The sequence below is a fragment of the Homo sapiens genome, chromosome 2 (genome assembly GCF_000001405.40).
Source record: "Homo sapiens chromosome 2, GRCh38.p14 Primary Assembly".
Classification (NCBI taxonomy): domain Eukaryota; kingdom Metazoa; phylum Chordata; class Mammalia; order Primates; family Hominidae; genus Homo; species Homo sapiens.
Window position 1 is genome coordinate 20166001 of NC_000002.12, and position 24442 is coordinate 20190442.

Genomic DNA, 24442 nt, shown 5'->3' on the forward strand with positions numbered 1-24442 from the left:
ACTCACAACACACCACATACAACACAGACACTACACACACCCACACTCACCACACACAACACACTCATAACACACACACCATACACATACACAGCATACACATACACACGTGTATCCACGTTCACACCACACACACCACACAAGCATACACACACACACCACACCACATACACACATATACTACACCCCACATACCCACACCATATACACACACCACATGCACATACAACACACACACACCACACATATGCACCACATATATATATACACACTCACAAAACACACACACACACACATTGTTAGCTGCAGCAAAGCGTGACTGACCCCTTCCACTTGCTAACTCAGCTCTTTGCAGGGGATGGGGATCTTCAGCCCAAGACTTCAAGCAATGCTCCCTGTCTCTGAGCTGAGAGGCCAAGCAGGAGGATGTGGTCATAACTGCACCCACCTGTGTACTCAGCTCCCCTCCCCCGCCCCAGGCCGCTGTGTCTCTGTGCTCTACCGTAGAACCCACTTAAACTCTCCCCATCTCCTGGGGGCTGACCCTGCCTGCCAAGGACATCGTGAGGGAGCAGGGTTTAAATGAGATGCACTCTCATTTAAATTAAACAGCAGGAGCCTGTCACAATCTCAAGGGAGAAAGACCTCAAAAATTTGTGGATGCTCATGTCTGGAAAAGGGCGACTGTGGTTCATACCAAACTGAGAAGAAAGAGATTCATGAGCCCAGCCTGCCCCACGGCATTGATCAGCCCCGTTACTCACATCCACAGAGCAGGGTGACACAGCCACTGCCTAATGCTTACTCATGCACTGCCTTCTAGCCTGGGTGTCTGGTGTGTGTGTGTGTGTCCTTCCTGGATAAACTGAAATCCCTCTACAGCAGAGAGACCTCTCCTTCCTCAGTGGCCTCATGGAGATACAATAGGTGTGTAATAATTACTGCCTGTCCTGCTCAGAGCTTCTGAGCATTCCAACGTGTGTGTGTGTGTGTGTGTGTGTGTGTGTGTGTGTGTGTACAAGGAAGTCTAGCTCCCATATCTGCTCTTAATGGTGTTACAATTTTTTTTTGAGACAGAGTCTTGCTTTGTCACCCAGGCTGGATGCAGTGGTGTAATCATAACTCATTACAGCCCCATACTCCTAGGCTCAAGCAATGCTCCATCTCAGCCTCACAAGCAACTGGGACTACAGGCATGCGCCACCACACCTGGCCAGCGTTACTACCACTGCACACCTTCCTCTCCGTCCTCCAGTCACATACAGAGAGCCCTGAAGTAACCACAGACAGTGGTCATGTCTCCCAGCCCATTGGAAGCCTCGGTAGAAGGAGGTCCCCTGTGGCTCCTCTCACCCCCTTGTCCCCAGATGTCCCCACAGGGACCCATTCTTGAGATGGGGAGCAAGCCTTCCCCTCAGGCCTCCCTCTGTATCCAGGCATGGCCACTCAGGCCTTCTGCTCCTCTTCTTCAGGCCCTGCCTTGGCTGTTATGTCCTATCCATCCTCTCTCTGACTGTGCCCAGAGAACGAGGGAGTCTGACTTCAGATTTTACAGACAGAAGATATCCCAGGAATGTGTCCATCACATCGCCAAGCCAGCCCCTGTCAGTACAAGGCCAGCGTGGAATGAAGCTGAGTCTCTCTCTCTTCACCTGGAGTCCAGTGCTCATCCATGGCCATCGCTGTGTGCCAAGGATGTAGGGGTTGGCCAGGCCCAGAAAAGGGGATGTGGGCAGTGTGGGAAGAAAGAAAAAAAGCCCTCCAAATACCGGAAGATGGGCACAGTGAGCTCCACGAGCCAGCCACAGCTCACCTTGCCATCTTTACCTTTCCCATCTTGGTGGGTAGGGTGGGGGTGCCCTGAGCACTGCACAGGACGGAGGGTGCTTCAGGGCCACCGCAGCTGTGACCAGCATTTGGCTGAGAGATAAACCCTCCCCAGCCAAGAATGCCACCCCTGGAACCTCCCCTCCCTAAAAGCTTAGTGGCAATTCTAGCAACTCGGGGGTCAGGCAGTGCTGGACTGGGGCGAACTAACAAAGCCTCCTCCGTGGGAGCCATTTCCCCTAATACCCCCTTGAACAAAGGCCTGAGATAGCTGTCCGCCGGTCCACACACCTGTGGAACACCACCCTCCTTGCTCTCATGTTTTCTCTCGTACTCAAAGGCCCCAGAGAGAAGCCCCATTCAGGCAGCTCAGCCTGCACCTCTGCTGCAGGGCGCTGGGCCACACCTGCCGCCCCATGATGTGGTCCTTTCTCCAGAGCACGGGGCTTCAGGGTCCTCCCTGCATGGCATGGACAGTTCTGAGGGATGGCTGTGACACGCAGCACGAGGCCACCCTGCTTCCCATCGGGGAGCTCTGACATCAGGGGCCAAGACATCTTTTTGAGATGAGTGGGGGGCACGGAAGAGACGTCTGGATGTTAGAGTCATGGTCTCCAAAGTGGGGACTGACCCAGCTGCTGGGCCTCCCTCCAGCAGCCCAGCCCTGGGTGGACAGGCTGCTTTTATGATGATAGTTAACTTTTTATAGATATTCCTCCTGCAGCAAGTTAAATTGCATCTGCTCGGGCAGACATCCAGGCCAAGGGCAGGCAGATGGAGCGGCCGGGCCCCGAGGCTCTGGCGGGCAGGTCTTCCTGCTGTAAAGCTCTGTGTCTGATAGGAAATTCAGGCTGGAGTGTGGGCACAGGGCAGCTTGGGTTGCTTCCTGAGGGTCTAAGAGCCCCAGACGAGTCGTCCTTTTCTTCTGCAGCCTCTTCATGTGGCTCTGAGTTCTGCACCTGGGCAAACTTCCTTGTGGGAGAAGTCATGAGTGGGTAGAACGTGCAGTCAGCGCTGTAGGACCAGCCAGGGAGGGGCCTCAGCCAGTCAGCTGTGATGGGGCAGGGGATCGGAGCCTCGCCCGGTTGGTGGGCAGGGATCTGGCCCTGAGGAGCAGGGCCCCGGGAGTGGGACCCTCATCCCACAGGACCGGCAGCACTGGGCAAGTTATTGCTACAGGGATTTGGCCATGGCATATGGGGTACAAACCAAAACAGGGACCACCCCCAAACTCAGCCTGAGTCGACAGCACTGCCCTCTAGGCCTCCACTCCCCACAGGGAGAAGGGCTCCCACACTGGTCCCTCTGACGCCTGCAGAGTCACTTTCGATGGGGCCACTTCGCCTCCCAGCCAGCCCGCCCTTGGTCCAGGGCATTAGCGACTCGGCGAGATGCACTGAGTTTGACTTTCAACACACATTTATTGGACACCTAACTCCCTATAGGCTGTGTGTTAAGTTCTGGGGCTTCAAACTGTGCTGAATACAGCCCCTTCCCTGGAGGAGTGCCTGGACTGTGAGGGAGTGAGAGCAGTAAATAGTCGGGGTGATTGCGCGAGGATAACAGAATGCACAGAGCGAGGCTGCGGTCTGAAGAGAGGCCAGGCTGCAGGGCCTGCTGGGACTGGGACCACTGCTATCCCAGCCCAGCCTCGGCCCACTGCTCCCAGTTCCTCCTCACGCTCCCCACCTCTTCCTGGGACGCCTGTCATGACCAATAGCCAACAGGAAAAAGAACACCTCCCTATCTGGTCTTCCCCCACAGGGACTGGTTCTTGTCCAGGGACACACGCCCTCTCCAGGAAACCTGTGGACCCACTGGGCTGGGGCAAATAACCCTCTTCTCCAGAAAGCTCCTAGCAACTTAGATGGCTAAGCAGAAGTCCCATCAGGTCCCAGTTACCCCATCACCTGGTCGATTTGCAGGTCCCATACATTCAGTGTTGCCGAGTACCTGGCATGTGAAAGGTATTACATCAAGTGATGCTTACAGCTTCCCTTGAGGGTAGGCAGGGTGCCCAGATATTACCTAACACTGCGTAACAAACCACCCCGACACTTAGGAGTTTAAAACAAAAACAGCAGTATTTATTTTGCTCATGAATATGCAAAGTGGGCAGGGCTGGGCGGGCAGTTGTTGCTGCTCCACTTGGCTTCAGCTGGGGCAGCTTGGAGGCTGGAGGCTATTATCATCCGAAGCTGCTCATTCACTCACATGCCTGCGCCTGGGGTGGGAAGACCCGATGGCAGGGGGCAGGCACAGCTGGGGTGCCTCACACTCCTCTGTCTATCTCCTTGCAGCCACGCCTCCCTCCAGCATGGCGGTGTCAGGGTAGCTGGACCTCTTATGTGGGCTCAGGCCTCATGGGGTGTGCGTCCTGAGCAAGAGCAAGCCAGGCCGAAGCTGCATTCCCTTTTCTAACCTAGACCCTAGAGTCATGCAGCACCATTTCCGCCTCTATTAATCAGCAGTGTCTCATCAAACTTGGCCCATACTGAAGGAAGGACAATTGAATTCCATCTTTTCATGGGAAGCGTGTCAAAGGATATGTGAACACGATTGTGAGCCTGTTTTTAAATCACCACTTAAGACAAGGTTGTTGCCTTATTTTAGAGAGCAAAAAATAAAGTGGCTTGTCGAGTTCATGCAGCAATTTAGAACTGATGAGAATTCTAAGCCACATCTCCCAGCTCCAAGGCCAAGGCCTCCTTCTAGTCACCATTTAGTGCAATGATAAAGGGATCAGAGTCCCTCGGAGCATCTGATGAAATCCATAGACAATTTTCCCAGAAAAAAAAATGCACGTGCATTAAATCTTGGGTCTGTATGTGTGTGGGGGAGCAGAACAGTATAACCAAAAATATAAGGCTGGGCTAACCAATTGTGAGCTCAGCCTGCCCCTGGCGCAGCCACCACACTTAGGGCAGCCAGTGCGCGGCGCGACTCAGCCTCGGGTTTGGAGAAGGGCTTGCCGTGGGCAGTGCCCTGGGGACTTGCTGTGGAAGTCCCATGCTGTGCTGTGTCAGCCAGCACCTCCTGGCTTTATCATTGCACCATACATACCATGTGCAGGAAAACAAGTGTTTCCTTCCTGCTCCTGACATGGGCGGACTCCAGGGTTCTGGATGGAGAGACCCAGAATCCAGACTTCCCTACAGCAGCTCCCAGCCTTCTCACAGCCCCAGGGGCAGCTGGACAGGTACCCAGGGCAGCCACACAACAGAACAAGAGGCCTCGTGGGGCCTGTTAGTCTCTGCATTTGACACAGCGAGGGGTGGCATAGTGGTCCCTGCCCTCTTTTCCTTCTGCTCACACCCGAAGGAGGAACAGGTGCATCGGAACTGCAGGAGGAAGAGAGTTTGGAAAAGTCCCTGGCGTGACTGTCATAGATAATTCCCACCTTATCCTTGCCCTCGAGAACCACACATGTAGTAGATGACATAGAGGCATTTAACAATTTCATATAATTTAATTGTTTTATTAAACAATTGTGTTTATCAATTGGCTCAGAAAATCCCTCGAAAATAGGACAAGCTGTTCTCATGAGTGTGTACAAGTTGTCTCTAGCACACCGCTGACTCAAACCCAGGACCTCTGACACCAAATGTAACCCCCACTCTACACAGCCAAAGGTACTGGAGCTCCACAGGCAGTAAGCAGTGGGGCTGAGATTTAAAGCTAGTCTGACCCCAAAGCCAAGTGTTAATCATTATCATTTGGATAATGATCTCCATTGGAGGGCCTGATGGGAGAAGAGGAGAAACAAGGACGCTGACCCAGAATGCCTGTGGGCTTTACTTCCCTGATCCCAGGCCACTGGGGCAGATTGAGGGGGGATGGTCGGGGGGTGTCATTAAACCTCAGGCATAGTCAAGCATTGTTCCCTCACTGCAGAGGGGCAGACCTGCCCAGGGTCACACACAAAGCATGGGGCTATGCTCAGGCTAGAGCCTGGATCTCCTCAGTCACCCTCAGACCTAGGCATACCCTCAGCCCTGGTGACCTGTGCCCAGTGGGGACCAACTAACAAAAACCACCACTGCAGACAGGTGTGAGCTGTGAGGAAGTCCCGCAAGACAGAAAGCCTGAAGCCTGCTGAGCCCAGCCTGGGCCAGACCCTCTTGGGGGTGCTGCAGTTTTAGAGAGGAGGGCACCAACGAATCAAACAAGAGCCCTGTTCACAGGCCGCACTGTCTAACACAGGTGCTACTAGCCGCATTTGATAATTTATATTTAAATTCATTAAAATTAAGTACAATGTAAAATTCAGTTCCTTAGTCATAATAGCCACATTTCAAGCGCTCAATAGCCACCTTTGGTTAAAGGCTATTGTGTCAGATAGTGCAGATAAAGAACATTTTCATCAATGCAGAAAAATCTGCCGGACAGCACTGGCCCTAGAGGAAAGTCAGATAAAATGAAAAACAACAATTTCGCCCGCCGGAATGGAGCCAGCTGCCGAGAAGTGTTTCTTGGAGGAGGAAGGTCTTGAGGTTCCAACTCACAGGAGCCCTGCCCACTCCCAGGTCTGGGCCCTCCCTCTTCTCCCCTCCAACCCCAGCCCCAGGCCTGAGCACGCTCTGATTTCTTTCCGGCTGCTTGTGTGTGGCTGTCCTCCACCACCCGGGGTGGAGAATGGGGCCTGTGGGGACCTGCAGAGAGTTGCCCAGGAGCCAGCAGAAGTGGGAGCAGCTGAACCTTCTCAGGCTGCCAGGGCCGTGGCCCACTTACCCGCATCCCTAAGCCTCAGAAAAGGAGGGCTCTGGGGAGCTGCTGGGGCTTGGAAAGTCACAGTGATGGTGCAGGCAGGGGCGGGCGCTGTGTGTTTGTCTCTCGGCATCTTTGATGTGCCTCGGAGTCTTTCATGTCGGAGGCTGTCCTCTGCCAAGGGCCCCATGTGCTGTTTGCCCTTTTCCTTTTATTCCTTTTTTTATTCATTTCATTAAATTGGTTCTGTAGAGGGCAAAAGAAGAGCCCAGCAGACAAGAAATGCTCTCAGGTTATAGGGGAAGAGAAGTGGGGGCGAGAGCTCACTTCTGGCTGGGCGGGTGCAACTGAAAGCAAAGCACTGGCTCATCCACCCACACTTCAAGGCTTCAGCTGCTCACACACTAAGTAAGACCTCTTAGAATCTTTATAGAACCCATGCCTACTTCTTGTGGATGAAGATAAAATCCTTATGTGATCTTAATGAAATCCATGTAGAAGCTTCATAGAATCCTCTTGGATGCCACATAAAAATCCTCACAGAATTCACCATATTGCTCATAGAAGCCTAAATCCCCACTGCCATACGCACAACACACACGCATGACATACACTGCACTCCAGTGGAAATAGCAAATTATCTTGAACCCCATCTCCTTTCCTCAGAGAACAGCCACTTGACAGATCTATTCTGTAGGTGGAGGGACTGGGAACATTGCCCAGGGTGAGGTTGCAATGCAACCTTTTGTGGCCTGACCTGGGCAGGCCTCTGTGAAGGCCCCTTACTCTGCAAACCAGGTCCCTTGGGAAGAGGAGAAGAATTTGCAAAAGGATCCCAGGGCTTCTGGGAAGAGAGGAGAAGCCAACTCCTGTATGAAAATTCATCATGGTTGCCCTGGGTGCTCGATCTGCTGGGACGGAAGCCCCGTGATGCAGCAGGAATTGTTGTTGGTGTTAATGTGTCCCAGCACCTACTCCTGTGCCCGGCACACATGGTAGATCCTCAATAAGCAAATGAATGAAGGTGTGCTAGCAGGAAAGGATCCCCAGGGCCCTAACGAGCACCCACCATAGGACAGGGCAAGCAGCAGGCCACCACGAAGCTGCACCAGGTACTGGGCATTGTTATGGGCTGGGTGGGGACCCAGGCAAACGAGACCTCTCTGCTGAGTGGATGGATGGCGGCCTGGCTAATGCAGGGAGTAAAGGGGTTCTGACAGCAGGCGGGTGAGGTCTGTCTGGCAGGCATCCTGGTGGTTGATGACCAGGAACTGCATGGCCAGTTGGCCCCGGGCATGCAGGCTGAGACAGCTCCAAGGATTATATCCTTGCAGGGCCTGGAAAAGTTTTCTAGTTATTTGTTAGCTTCATGTCAAGCAGAATGGCTTTCTTTCATTCTTCAGCTGTACTCGGCCAGAAGTCCCCAAATTCAACCTTCAGGAGCTTTGCAGGGACTTAGAGACAGGAGTCACTGAGCAAACCTGACTGTGGAGCTCAGATTATAAAGAGGAAAGAAATTCTGCTTCTTCCAGGCACAGAAGGCAGTTGATCCTTAGCGGGAGCCCTGGGCTCCAAGAAGCCCCTGGGGAAGCAGTGGAGCTGACACTCATCTAACAGGCCGAGCTCTGTGTGTCTGTCGTCTGTCTGTGCAGGGATGATGGCACCCACACTCCCAGCAGCTCTCTCTGCACACCATGGTGGAGCCCCAGCTCTGTGCCCTGCCCTGGGCATGGCTGAGAATAGACAGGTGCCCTCCGCATTTGGGAATTAGCAGTTTTAGTCTCTCAAGAGCAAAGTACGCCCCGGATACATGTTTCAAAAAAGAAAGGTAAGAAGGAAGAGACCCCTTTCCCCTGCAAAAAGAAATCAGGCCAGGTTGAGCCACTTCTAGCCCAGAACTGTTTTCATGGCAAACCCTAACATCCTACTTCTGCCAACATTCAAATTCAGGTAACTTAGAGGGACAGCTAAAATCCAAATGAACAAAAAAGCCATATCCAGGTTGCCCACCAGTGCCTCCAGCTTGCACAGGGCCATGCCCCATGCAGCAACATCTCTGAGCATCAGAGAGTGGTGGCAGTCACCAGATTCCTTGGGTGATGCAGCTACCAGCTGGAACCACATCAGGAGGATATTGGAGGAGAAGACAGGAGCAAGTGGTGGGCACACCACAGAGGGCCTTGAGACTTGGGCGGAGTCGAGACTTTGTATTTAGGTGCTGGGAGCCTTTAGAGGCTTTGAGCAGGGGAATGACTTTTCAGACACATGCATTAGAAAGGGTTATATTTAAGGAAAACACATGCTCCATATGCCTGGCACAGTCCTGGTTTGCCTGGACAGTTCCAACTTATGCCTGCTTTTCCTAGTAAACTGATTGCCCATTACACTCTCAAGAGTATCCTGGTTTTACCTACTGGATATTTTATGATATTAAAGAATTATTTTTAATTTTTAAAGTATAATAATATTATAGTTACATTTAAAAAAAAAAAGAATTCTGGGCCAGGCACGATGGCTTATGCCTGTAATCCCGGCACTTTGGGAGGCCAAGGCGTGTGGATCACATGGGGCCAGGAGTTCGAGACCAGCCTGGCCAACATGGCAAAACCCCGTCTCCACTAAAAAATACAAAAATTAGCCAGGCAAGGTGGCACATGCCTGTAATCCCAGCTACTCGGGAGGCTGAGGCACAAGAATTGCTTGAATCCAGGAGGCAGAGGTTGCAGTGAGCCTAAATCATGCTACTGCACTCCAGCCTGGGGGGACAGAGCGAGACTGTCTCAAAAAACAAACAAACAAAAAAAGAGTTCTGTCGGGCATGATAGTGCATGCCTGTATTCTCAGCTACTCTGGAGGCTGAGGCAGGAGGATCACTTGGCCCCAGGAATTCTGGGCTGTAGCGCGTTATGCCAATTGGGTGTACACACTAAGTTTGGCATCAATATGGCGACCTCTTGGGAGCAGGGGACCACCAGTTTGCCTAAAAAGGGGGAACCAACCCAGGTTGGAAACGGAGCCGGTCAGAACTCTTGTGCCAATCAGTAGTGGGATTGCGCCTGCTCTGGGTACATTGCCCAGGCTGGATCCCACTGCTCTCACTGTGTTGCCCAGGCTGGAGTGCAGTGGAATTCAGGCTTCACTCCTTTCAGTGGAGCCACTGCACTCCAGCCTGGGCAACATAGTGAGACCTCATCTAAAAAAAAAAAACAAAAAACAGTTCTTATCTTTTAAAGATAGATAGATTGATTGATAGATAGATCAATCGATCTAGTGCTCACTCTGGCAGCACATATACTAAAATTGGAATGATACAGAGATTAGCATGGCCCCTGCACAAAGGATCACATGCAAATTTGTGAAGCATTCCATATTTTATGATGAATGTTTGAGAGATGAATATGTCAATTACCCTGATTTGATCAGTACACATTATATGCCTCTCAACATCACTATGTACCCCATAAACATGTACAATTACTATGTGCCAACTAAAAAATCTAAAAAATGAAGACATACGCTTAGATATTTATAGATGAATATTGTCTAGAATTTGCTTCAAACCAATCTAGCAAGGGGAAGTGGTGGCCGAATGTGAGTGGGAGTAGAGACGAAATAAAATTGGTTGAGTTGACAATTATGGAGTTTTAGTGGTGGATACATGAGGTGGTGGTGTGTTGATGATACTAGTCTCCCTATGTTTGTGTTTAGTTAACATTTTCTGATATGTAAGTTTAAGAAGAAAGTGTCCCAGAGTGGACAATAAATATGGTCACTCTAGTTCAATGGTTCTCAACCTGGAGAGATTTTGTCCCCAGGGGACAGTTGGCAAGGTATGGTGGCCTTTTGGTCATCACAACTTGGTGGCGGAGGGGGGGATATGCTACTATTACCTATTGGATAAATGCCAAGTATTGGTTTTTATTGCTAAAGGCTGCAATGCTCAGATTGCCCCCCACCCCAACAAAGAATTCTCTGGCTCAAAATGTCAATAGCACCAAGGGTTACACCCCAGGTTAGTGTAATGTCTGTGACTTACTTTAAAGCTCCATTGTATGAACAGAAGAGATAGTGTCTCTATGTGTGAGCTAATTGTAATGTATGCTCTAGGGTTGATGAGTTAACACTTAAAGTAACTCACACCCTAGAAGTGGCTAGCAAAGGCTTCAAATATAGTTATTTAAATCTGCTCCCCAAAATTCATTAACTAGCATAAACAATATCCAGGTAATTTGTTGTTGGTGAAGTGAGTGATGTTCAAGAACTATATTCAGCTGGAAAGATGGTTTAGGCACCTATGTCTCTGCTTGAACAAGACAGAAGAATCCAGCAAACCTGGGTGCCTGACAAGCAGGGACTGGTGCTCTGGGTCTATTCCCATTTCATTCTGAGTCCCCTCTTGGCCTTGACGACTCTGTCTCCTGGCCCAGCCAGAAGCTCGGCTGGTCCCGCTGACAGAACATCGCCATATCTTTGAGCTACTGGACTTCCCATGTGAGTGCTTATCAGCAAGCCTAGAGGTAGAGAAAGGTGATGCCCCAAGTTTAGTGGAGGGGCCAAATGACTATTTTTGTGACTATTTGCTAATAAAAGTATGTCGTTGTGGCAGAATATGGTCTGAAATTTACTTTCATTGTAACATATCTCCTTGTGGCAAGGGTGTGGGCCTGAAGACCCTTTCCCATCTTATCTTTGGGGTTTAGGAGACACTAATGTTTACCCTAAGAACTTGATCATCATTGAACAGCCAAGTTGGCTGAGATCAGGAAGATGATAACGGTAGTGTGTGTGTAGAGAACAAACTGAAGATGAGATTAGAACCTTTGCCTTCTCCATGATCTGTGTATCTTTCTCATGTCTTCCAGGAACACCACATACCTCCCTAACACCACCACCATGTATCATTGAATAGCTAGACTGGCTGAGATAGAAAAAATAATACTGGAGGTGTGTGTAGAGGATAGATGGGAGAGGAGATTACAACTTTTTCACTCCTTTTAGGATCTCTCTAATATCTTCCATACACCTGTCTGGCACCAACACCATGCATCACACGCACTTTTCCTGCCCCACCAGCGTCTCACCTATGTCCCCCGACACCTATATCTGTGGCTTCAACTATGGCCAGGAAGTGTCTCCTTGTGCCCGAGGCCTCTCAGGTGTGTCAGCAAGTAGGTAGGAGAGTCTCATGGCTCAGTCTGGCCTCAGAGGCTGGAATGTGTCATGGTGGCTGTGATTGGTTTCAGCTGCCTGTAGTCCACAGCCGGGCATGTCTTCCATCTCCAGCAGGAGCCAGGCAAGAGCAGGCTGCCTCTGTGTCCTAGAAAGCCAAGGTCCTCCCTGGGCATAGCTGACGCTGCGCACGTAGGGACAGGAGGACTGTCCCTGGAAGGTGAGAGTGGCTGGGAGGGCCACACAGGAGGCCTCATTTTCAGCCACCAACAGCTCAGGAGAAGTGAGTTTCTCAGAGGATATTCTGAGAGCCTGTTTGGATGAGGAGAGGCTGAGAAGGCAGGGGCCACTGGGCATTACAGTGAGGGCAGGTGTGAGTGGGTGTCCCCTAGGAAGGGGAAGGAAGGGTGGCATGCCAGCGAGGCAGGGAGAAGTTCCCGGGGCTGTCATCAGATGACCATTACCAATTTCAGTGTTCTGAGGAGGAACATTGCTGCCCTAGCCAGCTCTCATTGCACATTCATGCACACACAGATACAGAGAGACACACACACGTGCGCACACGCGTGCTCACGCACACACACATACACACACGTACACATACACAGGTCACTGAGCCACATTCCTTGGCCACAAGGTCCTTTCTTTCCCAAGGTCTCAGATTGCGTGTCTGACACGGATTTTTCCTAGCTGCCTATCCCATGGTGTGCAGGCTCCCATGGGGCCCCACAAATGCCCCAGAGGCCCCAGGGCAAGCTGCCCGACACCCGGAACTCTCCCTCAAGGTGCGGCTCTGAAGTAGACCAAAGAGCCCTCGCCAAGGGCTGGGACTCTTCCCAGGAGACGAGTGCTCCTCCGACAGGGCCCTTAACAGGAGTCTGGCACCTGTCTCTATGGCTGTCTCTACTCAGTCCCAGCTAGTAGCAGCACCGTGGGGAAGCCTGGGGTAAGAGGCAGAAGGGGATTCTAGGCCTCTGATCTCTGCAACTCGCCCCCACCTAAACCATGCCAAATATACACACGCTGAAAAAAATCACACAAATCAAACACAGTGTGCCGCTTCAAGGCCCTTTTCCCACCAACTGCCTCCTTGACCCTGCCTGTCTGGGGGTCCTGGAGCCACCTGGGTCTCAGCCATGGTGGTGCTGGGCTTCTGCCGGGCAGTGAACAGCTCATGCTCTCTCCTCATCCATCGAGGGCTCTCTGGGCCCAGGGACTGGGCTGGGCATTGTTGATCTCTGTCTTTCTAACAGCAAACTCAGCCCAGAGCCTCCTCACCACCCCTCTACCCACAGTGCTCAGAGAATGTCAGTGAACATGGGCAGCATTTAATTGCCTGGCAAGTTCAGATTTGCACCTTTGATCTGCAAGCCTGGCAGGGCTGGGTGATGGGAAGAACATGGCATTTGGGTGCAGATGAACCTGGGCTTGAAACCCAGCTTTGTCATTTCTATCTTGTGACCTTCAGTAGCTGCTTCACACGTAACATCCCTCTCCATCCCTCTCCTGAGCCCAGGTGTTCTCATCTGGGAAGTGGGGAAAGTTGTACCTAATTCACAGCAGAACATGTGAGTGTACAACCAGCCCAGCCCGTCATCTGGTGGCCATGAGCTGGGAGCCGTGATGAGTGTTTCAGTCTTGGTTCGGGGCGATGGGCCTAGTAAGCACTTTATATATATCCTAATCCTCCCAACAGTCCTATGAGGAGGGCACTATTATCATCATCAACTCCTTTGTACAGCCCAGGAAACTGAGGCACAGAGAGATTATGAAATTCGGCCAAGTTCACACAGCCCATAAGTGACAGGGCTATGGTTTGACCCAAAGCTTTTGGACTCTGGGGCCCACCCTCATAGCTATGGTACTAAACTGCTGGGTGTTTACCCCAAAACAGGAAACCTACAAAGGGGTGTTCTTTGAGTCTATCAAAAATATTTACTGAGTTCCTCCTAAGGAATTAGGAGAGGTGGTCTCAGCCCCACTGCAGGCTGCTCTCTGTGGGGTCCTGGGGAGCGGCTCCGGCCCTGGGCCTGCTGGCAGAGCTTTGCTGAGACCTGGCAGAGGCAGCCCTGCCCTGTCACGTCTCCCTCCACAGCCCACTTGCCTGCCAGGGTGTTTGAACAATGATTAACCAGCAGCGGGCAGGCCAGTGCAGGCCAGGCTGGGCACGGCGGGTGAGCTCACCCCTTGCACAATGGTGGCCGCACCCGCCGCCCGCACCCACCACCCGACTCAGGGGCTGGCCCAGTGGGGCAGGGCCAGGCGGGCTCCCAGAAGCAAGAGACATGAAGCTGGAGGGAAACAAGGGACAGCCTAGCCAGATGTGCAGATGTGACTACAATCACATTTGATGCCATCCTCCCACTCCAGCCCATGCAGACTCCAGCCCCTGTTGCCAGCCATCCATTGCTGGGATGAGACCAGCCTCAAGGGAGATGTTCCTCAAACAGTGTCACCTAAGCCTGTCCCAAGCTGCTCCTGCCACAGAGCATCAGACTCCAGACTGGACTAGAGGACGCAGGAGGACCCGCCCACCCAGGCCCATGACAGACAGGGAGCCACGCCTCAGGCCCCTCCTCCCCTTTCTCCATGAACCCTCTGAGCCTTGTGGAGCCCGGTCTCTGGCCCTGGCTGCTCGGGGAAGCACAGGCATGTGCCCATACCCACACCAGCCCCTGGGCCCCTCCCTGGGAGCATCCGGGGTCTCAAGCGCCAGAGCCTGCATGGTGGTGGTGGTGGAGAACTCACAGCTCATTCGGAGCCAAATCTGTCTCCAGATTCGCGGACGTTGCCACACCTGTCCACCCCAGCCTCGCCCGAGGCTTCGGCCTTTTATTTGCTTGTTGAGTGGAGCACTAAAGTCCTTTACCCTAAGTAAACCGTGTGTCCATTTCAGATCTGGCTTCACTGCCTCAAAAGCTAGGAGGACTGAAGAAGGTTGGGATGTACATCTGGGGTTCGGGGGACAGCACTATGTGTGGGGGTGGGGAGGGGGAAAGATAATTTTCTGTGAAGGTGGGAGGGGTGGAGGTGCCTTTACCCCACTCCCACTCCCCCTCCTCAGTGTTCCGAAAAGTCTGAACCCTGCTGGTCTGATGAGGGCTCCCAGCTGATCTGAGGGCTCAGTCAGCCTTGCCGGGTGCCCCTCCAAAAGAACCTAGGAGTCTGGGTGCCCAGGTCTGGGCCTGCCGGAGCTCCCTGGCCCCTCCTCACAGCCAAGAGACACTGTGATCCTCAGACTCTCTGAAGGCCCCTCAACAATCAAAAAAGGGTGGGCTCCCGCTTATTGAGAAGTTGTGCCTTTTTTTGTCCTAGATTCACCTGCCCAGCCTCAGGGACCCCAAGTTCTGGGTCATGTGCTTGGGACATCCTCACAGCCCGGCCTGAGAAGACCTGGGTATTCTGGCTCCCATGGTGCCCTCATTCTCTCAGGACACCTGAGGCCCTGGCCCTGAGGCCTGTCATGCGGCCTTCTTGCAGCATCGCTGTTTGTTTCCTGAGCTCCTGTCTGGGCTAAGCCCTGAGGAAGAAGAGAGTAGAGAGGATGCGCTTGCTGCCTCGGGGGCCTGCACCCTGGTTGGGGAGCCAGGCATGGATGCGGGCTGCATGGGCGCCAGCTACCATGATGGCTCCCTAGCAGCACCGTCTGTATACCACACTTTGTTCTGAGCAGGTCACATGTGTTTGTTTGTTTATTTATTTATTTATTTTGAGACAGAGTCTTGCTCCGTTGCCCAGGCTGGAGTGCAATGGTGCAATCTCAGCTCACTGCAACCTCCACCTCCCAGGTTCAAGCGATTCTCATGCATCAACCTCCTGAGTAGCTGGGATTACAGGCGCACGCCACCACGCCAGACTAATTTTTTGTATTTTTGTAGCAAAGGGGTTTTGCCATGTTGGCCAGGCTGGTCTCAAACTCCTGACCCCAGGTGATCTGTCTGCCTCTGCCTGCTGGGATTACAGGCATGAGCCAGTGTGCCTGGCCAATATGTGTTTAATTATTTATTACATGGGCTTCACAAGCCTGTGAAGCACATAGATCATTCCATGACCACCATTTTAAGGATGAGGGAAACGCTAAGGCATAGTGACAGTAAGCAACAGCCTAGGGATGTACAGCTAGTAGGTGGCAGAGCCCAGCTAAGACCCAGGCAGCGGGTCCAGCACCCATGCTGTCAGTCTCTATGAGATGCTACCTTTGGAGCAACATGCATCAGGAAGACAGGGCCAGGGGCAGCTTTCAGAGGGTGTAGACCAGATGGCGGCAGCGCTTGGCCCTGAGGTGTGATGGGATTTTGTGAAACAGAAGCAGCACAGGGCAACGCAGACAGAGGAAGCAGAAGCAGTATCTGCAAGCCTCGGAGGTGTTAATGACAATCACCCGAGGAAGGAGGTGGGGACAGGGGACTCCTGTACTTTCCCCCATACCCTTGCCTTGTTTGAATCTTCCATAATGTGCATATATTCATTAATTACAGGTGAAATTTAAACGCACAAAAAAATACAGTGAAGACTGAGTTGTGTGTCATAAAGCCATACAACTCAGCAGGAGTTGGCAAACCTTTCCTGTAAAGGGTCAGATAGTGAGTATTTGAAAATATTTTCAACTACTCAACTCTGCCACGGCAGCACAAAAGCGGCCATAGACAAAAGGCACACAAGCGGGCGGGGCTGTGTTCTAATAAAACTTTATTTATGGACATTAAAATGCCACATTTTCGCATGTCACAAAATATTCTTCTTTTGAAGTTTTCAATCGTTGAAAATGTAAAAAGCATTTTTCCCTCACAGACCGTACAAAAGCAGGCATGGAGGCAATACTGTGGCCTCTGGGCCATCGTTCGTACACACCTTCCCCAAAAGGCTCAGATAGGCGAGAGAGCAGGGAGGCTCCAGAGTTGGCTGGAGTCTAGTTGGCTGAGTCCAGTCACTCAGGTTGGCTGCAGCCCAGGAGTCCCAGGAGCGAGGAGCAGCAGGGCTGGGCCAAGAGTGGAGAGGGCTGAGGACAAACCCATAGGGCCTCGAAGGCCCCAGGAAGAGATGTTGTCACAGCTGACTCAGCCCCGTGCTCAGACTCCAGTGTTACCAGGTCCTGAATGTGAGACGCAGGCGTCTGCTTCTCCGAGCTTCAGTTACTTCAGCTGTAAAATGGGACACTGGCATTGACCTTGAAGGTCATGATGCATGGAAAGAGAGGGTTAGATCTTGTGAAAGGGGCTGAGGCTGGTGCCTATCCCGCACCAGAGACCCACGGGGGTGACGATGGTGTTTGCTGTTCATTCACACAATTGTTTTGGTTATTCTCAGGATGTTAAGCAGGCTCATGTCCAGGTATGTGTTTTAGAAATGTCTCCCTGGTGCTATGTGACGAATATGTCTGCATGTCTGTATGAACATCCTTCCTTCACCTTCCAGAACCTTCTCTCGGCTGCCCTGTACTAGGAAGACCAACCTGAGCAGACAGCATCCACAGGCTCCCTCACCCTCCTGTGGACAGACAACTCAGCTACTGGGGACCCCCAGAAGGAGATGAGGGGAGGGAGGAGAGCAGGGTTCTCCCTGACTCCCTCCTGCAGGCTGTGTGCAACCTGGATGCATCTTTTTGGAAAAGTCACAGCACTCTCCCAGCTCACCTCAGAGATTCAAGGGGGTCTCCCTGCCCCTTGCCCACATCTTTGTACACTCTTCTCAAATTACCCAAATTTGAATTCGACCTGCCTGATTGATAGAGGGCATAAGACTGGGTAAAGATACCAGCTAGGAGACTATTGCTATCATCTTGATGAAGGAAAATGAAGCAGTAAACCAGGACAGTGGTGATGAGGGTGAAGGAAGAGCTGGAACCAAGACATATGTAGACATTCAACAGGTGGAACCAGGAGCATTCCAGAGAGGGAGGAATCTCCAGGAGCAGTTGCATCTCTGGCTCAGGCAATGGAGGGGATGGAGATTCTGAGAGAGGATACCCAGGGGGAGAGGCTGGTGTTTGGGATGGAAATGATAACTTTGAGGCAGTGCCTGCAAACATCCAGGTGGATAAATGCACATGTATATCCAGCCTTCCTGAAGCTCTGATTTTCTACCATGTTTAGCCAGGATCCATCCAGTTCTCCCAGACAAGCCATGTCAGGAATGGCCTGGGAGCCATGGAGAGGGGTCAGTGAATAGATGGCTGCTGGCCTTGTCCTTCCCCTTCGGATGCAGGAACAAGGCTCTCAGATGCATGAACTCAGCCTAGAGTTCCTGGGTCTCCTGCTGCACCCACAGGAGAGGTCTGGGAGGACTCCATCCCTGGAGGTGCCAGCAGTTAAAGAAAGCCAGAGCTGCCAGCCAAAAAACACCTTTGCCCATCAGCCAGGAAAGCTGAACAGGCTGGAGTGCTTCCATAGGGGAGGCACTGGGCTTAGATCTTCCTTTAGCCATCCATTCCTTGGGGCTTTCAGGGGGCAGGAGGTCAGATCTATGCTTTCCTCGGAGGTGGGCCCTGGTGCTGGGGCGGGACCACAGGTGGCAGAGGGTGGGGGCTTAACTCCTCAGGCCTCACTGCTCATTCCTAGTTGGACTGACTTCTGATTACATTGTTGTTTCAGAAACAAGCACTCGATGGCATATTTCTCAATTGAGTCACTGCTCAGTTTGCCTTCTCCCAGGAAAGCAAACACTCTCTGGCTTCACCTCGGGCCATGGCTGTCATTGACCTTACTTACCTTGAAGGGCTCAGCACTGGGTTCCCAAGGCCCTTTTTAAGATCCAATTTCCCTGGTGCTTTGAGGAGGGTGGGGGACATCAGAAGACCCTCTTGCTGGGAACATCCACTTCCCGATGCCTCCTCCTTTGACGTCGTGAGCCACAGGCCACCAAGCAGGTTCTGCGGCAGCAACTCAGAAGAGCCCTCTGGAGTAGGAGAGCCTGGATCCCGGTGCCCAAGGTGGGCACAGCCTGCAAGCAGCTCTGCTTGGAGAAGTCCCGCTTCCTAGGGCTCATTCCGACTGTGCACATGACACTTTCGGGAGTAGGTCAAGAGCCCCAGGCGTCATTTGAACAGGAAGTTCTCGGGTCACATCAAATGTTCCATGTTGCCAACCCTCCATGTAACCCCTTTTCAGGAAGTCATCGGTCTCACTGGCAGGGTGGGGGAGGGCCTGTCATGAGTCCCGTCTCCAGTGTCCCTCTGTTCAGTGCATTTGGCGTAACCCCCAGCTGTATGCACTGGGCCCCCAGGGCTGCCTCCCCCTACGTCCCCCACAGCAGCCCAGCATGGGGAGAAAACATCCTAAAATCACCAGGGGCTCCAGGGAAAAGCCGAGAGGGGGCACGTGGCTGGTATGAGAGCCAGGAATGCCCATGTGTTCAGGATGGCGGAGGCAATGAGGAAAGAATGGCCCGATCTTCTCTCTGTTCCCTGCCTGTCAGTGTCATTCCCACTGGGTTCTAAATCCCCCTAGCATGTTCACAGGTAGCTCGCTGCACCCAGAGACCCCACCAGGCAGATAAACTTCTTTGTCCCACAGACAGAATTCCTCGACCTAGTCTTGCCTTCTTCCCCCTGCTGTCGTCCTCATCCCACTTCCAGCTGTGCCTGAAGAGAATCTGAGGGTCAGACTGGAGGGCGGGGAAGGAGAGGCCGAGCTGCCCCATTCACAGCGTTCAGGACTGTCTCTGCCCCAGGTTCCCTGACTCCTGGAAGTTTCTGGAGTCCTAGACAGGTCCTCTTGGCACTTTAGGAACCAGCTCAGGGCCTGCCTCTTCCTGGAAGCCCTTCCTGTGCGTGCTGATGGTCTTGGAATCAAAGCGCAGCTGCTGAGGAAGTAACTGGGAAAAGCAAAGGCCAGAACTGCAGGGTTGAGGAGGAGGAGACAGTGAGGAGAAGCCCACAGTTCATCTCCGGGGCTCCTCCAGGTGGCTGGCGGAGCGGCTGAGTGGCCCGAGGACTTCCTTTCCCAGGAGGCTGTGCCACAGACTTGGAGCTGTGGGGTGGGGTGGCGGGTAAGAGGGCAGGCTCTCTCCTGGGCAGCACAAAGGAAGCGTCCAGGGGGCCCAAGACAGCTGTCTCACTGTGCGGTCTGAGCACCCCCAGCCCGGGCATGTGAGCAGAGCTGACTAACTCTTGCAGGAAGTGGCCTCAAGCTGGGAGGGAATGGTTGGAAGGCCGACTGGGAAGCGGGGCTCAGAGGGTGCTCCCCAGCCTGGCCCCTGACTCATGAGAGCACACTGTGCCCTTTGAGGGTGGCCTGCTTTAGCCATCTCTGCGGGTGCTGCAGGGGAACAGGGAAATGAGGAACCAGCATCTGCCCACAGCCTCCCTTCTCCCACAGAGGCAGGCTCCAGGCCTCAGCTCCCACCCTTCCACCAACTCACCTCCCCGCCTCACCTGGTTTTCCTATTTTTTTTGTTCTCCAGGCTTTTCCCATGGGAAAATCCCACCCACCATTCCAGGCCAGCCAGAAAGCCTCTCCCTGACACCTGACCAAGTGTTCCCTGCTGGCTCACAGGTAGCCAAGCCCCAGAGGTCTGATATGTGACTTCCCGGCAGGATGCTGTGATCTCCAAGGGCAGGGTCCCTGGAGGGAGCCGGGGCTGTACAATGTTGGCCCTCAGCAGGGTCTCCAGGCAGGACTGCTTCCTCAGGCCAGTCCATGGTTCCTCCACCCTGGCTCCCACTCCCCATCCCCCCTGGCCTCAGGGAGCTGACAAGGCCAGAGGCCCCTGAATTCCTGCCCGAGGGCTCACCCCTGCCCTCGGTTTCACAGACCACCTTTGTGTAGGTCACTGTTGCTGAGCTCTTTCTAGCCCAGCACAAACCTGGGGCCTGGTCTTAGTGACTGACCCACCGGAGAGCTCCCAGTAACTCCCAGTAACTTCTCTGCCAGTCATCGGCTGCTGCTCCTGTCCCTTTGAGGAACTAACGACTGTTCTGTGAGTCAGTAACTAGGGGCAGAGGGAGGGGTGACAGACTCATTGCAGATATCAGGTGATCACTGCAGATATCATGTGATCGCTGCGGCCTTGGAGCCAGAGGCGTCCCTGTTTCTGCTTCCCCAAGAGGACATTCTCCTCCCATGGGGAAGGCCCCCACTCACTATACATTTGCGGCATCTAACCTAGATGGGCTCGAGAAAGCCACTCCGCACAGCAGAAAGAGCACTGGCTGGGAGCAAGTGAGTCTGGGCTCCCCACGGCTGGCAAGAGACTCCCCTTCTCTGAACCTCAACTTCAAGGGGGTGGCCCTCAGAAACCCTAAGAATGCTCACAGTTTTGTGACCTCTTGAAGTCCATGTACATGAAGCAGCTGCGGGCTCAGCCACATCCTGAAGGATCCCATGAGGATGAGTCCTCGTTAGCATCTGTCTGCCCTGGCTCCTAGAAGAACCTGTGATGCTGTGATGAAGCTTTGAAGTCAGGCAGTCCTGGGTTCAAGTACCGGCTCTGCCTCTTACCAGTACATTTTGCACCTTTCTGAACTTGATTTCCAGATGAGGAGATCTGAGGCCCCAGGAGGGAAGGAAAGCACCCAAGATACCAGGCGGGACCCTGGGCCTGCTGGCCTGCAGCTCTGCACTCCTTCTCCAGAGGGCTTGCCCTAGAAGGAGCCAGGGTGCTGGGAAGGCTGTTCCACTTTCAAGGGCTGAAATGAAGGTGGTTGTGTCTCACAGCCTGGCTGGCAAGGCTAGTTCCTCCACCCTGGAGCATCTGTAGATACACCACAGACACAGTGAGGGGAGCAGACAGGCTGGGACCACCTGGCCCTGGAGGGAAGCCCTGGGAAGGCTGGCTAGGCTGCCTCCTGGGCTGCCTCCTGGGGCTGCAGCCGGTCCTGTGCCTTTCATCTGCAGATACCCGGCCTCCCTCCCCACATGGTGCCCAGAAGGCCTGTGGGAGCTTCCCCTGCTGAAAGCTGCTGTCAGCAGGGGGCCACACCTCCCGTAGCCCTTGAAGTGTGAATATTTCTGCTTTCATAGCACACTCACCCCAGGCCCCAGTCCCTCACATCCCTTTAAGAGATGTCCATTACCTGAAGGATGGGGAATGGAGCGGCCCATGGGTGGAGGAAGGGCAGACAGGGTGTGGAAGCAATAGTTGTGTTTGTACAAATGGAGCCCTCCCCGCCAGCCACTAGAGGACGAGCTCGAGGGTACAGGTGTGTCTGTGCAGATTGGCCACTGCACCTATGCGGTGTCTGCTTGAAGCAGTGTCCTCTTTTCTAATTTCAGTAAAAGCCATGCCCACTCACCAAGCCAGGTGCCTGTCCAGAGGGGATCTTCCCCAAGGGAGCGCTGTGTCTAACATGCACAGAGGTGCTCCCTGTGCCCCTGCCTGCCCTTTGACTGTGCCTGGGGAGAATTTGGGTGGGGAGGAGGGCTCGGAAGGTGCACAACAGGTGGGAACTGAGTTCACAAATAAGCTTCTCCCCAGAACAGAACATCCTTTTTCTAAATCCCAACCCAATTGTTTGGTGACCACTAGCACTTCCAGCCAGGAACCTGAGTCCGCTGCCAGACAGCACAGTGCCCAGGAGCCCCATGACTACCTCCAGGCCAGCCCTGAGCCATCTTGAGAAGCCAGAGAGCAATGCTGCCTGGATGAGGCAGGTCCTGCCTCTTCAGTGCCTCCCTCCAGGGAAGGGTGGGGCAGAGGTCCTGGAGCCCAGCCCCCTCCCACAGCCACCCCAACTCTCCAGGCTTCAAAGGCCCACAGGTCATTTCTGGCCCGGAGGCCAGCCCGGACCAGGCCAAGCCCCAGTGGGCTGTGAATCCACCAAGTCTCTTTTTTGGGATCTCACATGCTCCATCTGCAATATGTCTTGGGCAGGAAGGATGAAGGCTGAGTTCCACCACTCCAGTGGGTGGATCTCAGCCTCCACCCTTCCTGTATTCTTATAATCAACACCCCCCTCACTACAATCCTGTATGTGTGTATGTACTTGCACATGCACACGTACACACACACACACACACACACACGATTCTGCGGGGAAGACGTGGGAGACCGAGGACCTAGCCTAGTCGTGACTCTGATGCACTGTGACCTGGCCTGGAAGGTTCCATAGAGTAAGCATCAGTACATGAGGCAGGCGCCGTGGCTCAGGGATCCCTATGGCCCCTGTGCGGTGCTTCTATGGCTTCCTTAGCCCCTCTTTTTTCCGCTCCGCCTTCTCCCAGGGCCAGGCGCAGGGAGCTGGGTGAAACAAGAGTTCATGAATGAACAAATGAATGGATGGAGTGGAGTCCCTCTCCACCCTCACTTCCGATCCCCTAATCCCCTTCCCATCCCCATCTCTAGGCCTGGCTCGGGGGCAGAGCCCCAGGTGTTTTTCATTAAGGGTTTTACTGGGATTCTCAGGCTCTAGCTGAGGAAGGCTGAAAGAGCCACCTAATCCTCTGCCCCACCCCCAGGCTGAGCCCGACACAGTGGGAGTCAGGTTACACAGTGGGAGGCAGGGGCCTATCCTCTCCCACTACCCAGACCCTTCTTGGGCAGCCTCTGGCCGTCTCCAGGAGGTCACCTAGGGCCCAGCTCGTCTCCAAGCCCATTCCCCTCCACCTGTTCTTTATACTGCAACAGTCAGGACATCCTTCTAAGGAACAAAGCTAATTATCCCATGCCCTTACTTTAGAATCCACCCAGGCTGCCTCCTTCCTTTTTTTTTTTTTTTTAACAACTGGCTCTGATTTGTGGCACTTGCCAATGTCCATGGTACAAATATTTCCATCATGGCCAATTTCAAACTACCTTGTGAGGTCACTGAACTCATGAGCACAGTCAGCTCTCAAAAGCCAGTAGAGCCGGCTCCCTCACCATCAGCCACAACCCTGTGCCCCTGACCTAGAAAACCAGCCCTCCTTTACTGGCTCCAGTTGTCCCTCCAGCCTCACTTCTCACTGCTTTTCCACCCCCAATACAGATACTGCACACTGGGGTGGGGGGATCTTGTGGGTCCCTGGGTGCACCTGGCACTTTCCAAGAACACTTCTCTCCTCCTCTTTTGCCGGGCCAGCTCGTTTGACAAGACCTCATTCACATGCCTCCTCCTCCAGGCAGTCTTCTCTAAGTCCTCAAGCTGGATGGGGTGTCCTTCATCTGTTTCTACAGCACTGCCCTTGGACATCTGTATTGTTTAATAATGCATGTGTGTCCTTGCCACAAAACCGTGGGCTCTTCAAAGGCCAGGGCTGTGCTCCTGATATCTCTGGGTCCCCAGGCCCTGACCCAGAGGAGGCCTCAGTAACTGTGTTGAAGGAGTGAGACGCACGTAGGGACGTGCTCAGGGCACAGGGCTCCAAGGGAAGAGCCACTTCGGAGGGCTGGAGCTATTCTCTTGGGCTTCCCCAGCAAAGGCCAGCGCCGCCTATGTAGCCAGCTTCCTGGGAGACAGAGGGCACTGCCCATGCTCCTCCCACCATGGGAGAAGGGAATTGCTCCCCAACTTCTGGATCTGACATATTCCAAGTGACATCCCCCCACCTGCCCACTGGCTCATAGGGACACGGAGCTGCCTGGGGCTGGGTAGAAATGAGCTGCCATCTGTCCCCTGGTTGTTTGTCTTCTCATGACCATGGTTCCCTGCAGGATACATCATTAGTAACTGTGGTGCCAGCACCCAGGCGTGTCAGGGAGGCCACCCTTTCCCATGCCTGGGAACCGCTTCGGGGCTTGCTGGGGCAGCTCCAGCCTGGAAGAGCCTCTCCCACGCCTGTCCAGGTGTCCTCTGGGACAGAATGGATGAACAGGAAGCAACCGT

General features: G+C 53.4%; 2 pseudogenes, besides 3 other annotated features; both read left to right on the forward strand.

Moving 5' to 3' along the window:
• Positions 212–291: an enhancer, noted in NCBI's record as "active region_15381". NCBI's record gives its function as "activates an Ori minimal core promoter by ATAC-STARR-seq in GM12878 lymphoblastoid cells {active_cell/tissue: GM12878}" and the evidence as "EXISTENCE:reporter gene assay evidence [ECO:0000049][PMID:35858748]".
• Positions 4408–5257: an enhancer, noted in NCBI's record as "H3K4me1 hESC enhancer chr2:20370169-20371018 (GRCh37/hg19 assembly coordinates)". NCBI's record gives its function as "activates a minimal SCP1, AML or CMV promoter by ChIP-STARR-seq in naive H9 embryonic stem cells {active_cell/tissue: H9 hESC(naive)}" and the evidence as "EXISTENCE:reporter gene assay evidence [ECO:0000049][PMID:30033119]".
• Positions 9346–9639, forward strand: RN7SL140P (RNA, 7SL, cytoplasmic 140, pseudogene; annotated as a pseudogene).
• RNU6-961P (RNA, U6 small nuclear 961, pseudogene) lies at positions 9805–9909 on the forward strand (annotated as a pseudogene).
• Positions 21409–22027: an enhancer, noted in NCBI's record as "H3K4me1 hESC enhancer chr2:20387170-20387788 (GRCh37/hg19 assembly coordinates)". NCBI's record gives its function as "activates a minimal SCP1, AML or CMV promoter by ChIP-STARR-seq in primed H9 embryonic stem cells {active_cell/tissue: H9 hESC(primed)}" and the evidence as "EXISTENCE:reporter gene assay evidence [ECO:0000049][PMID:30033119]".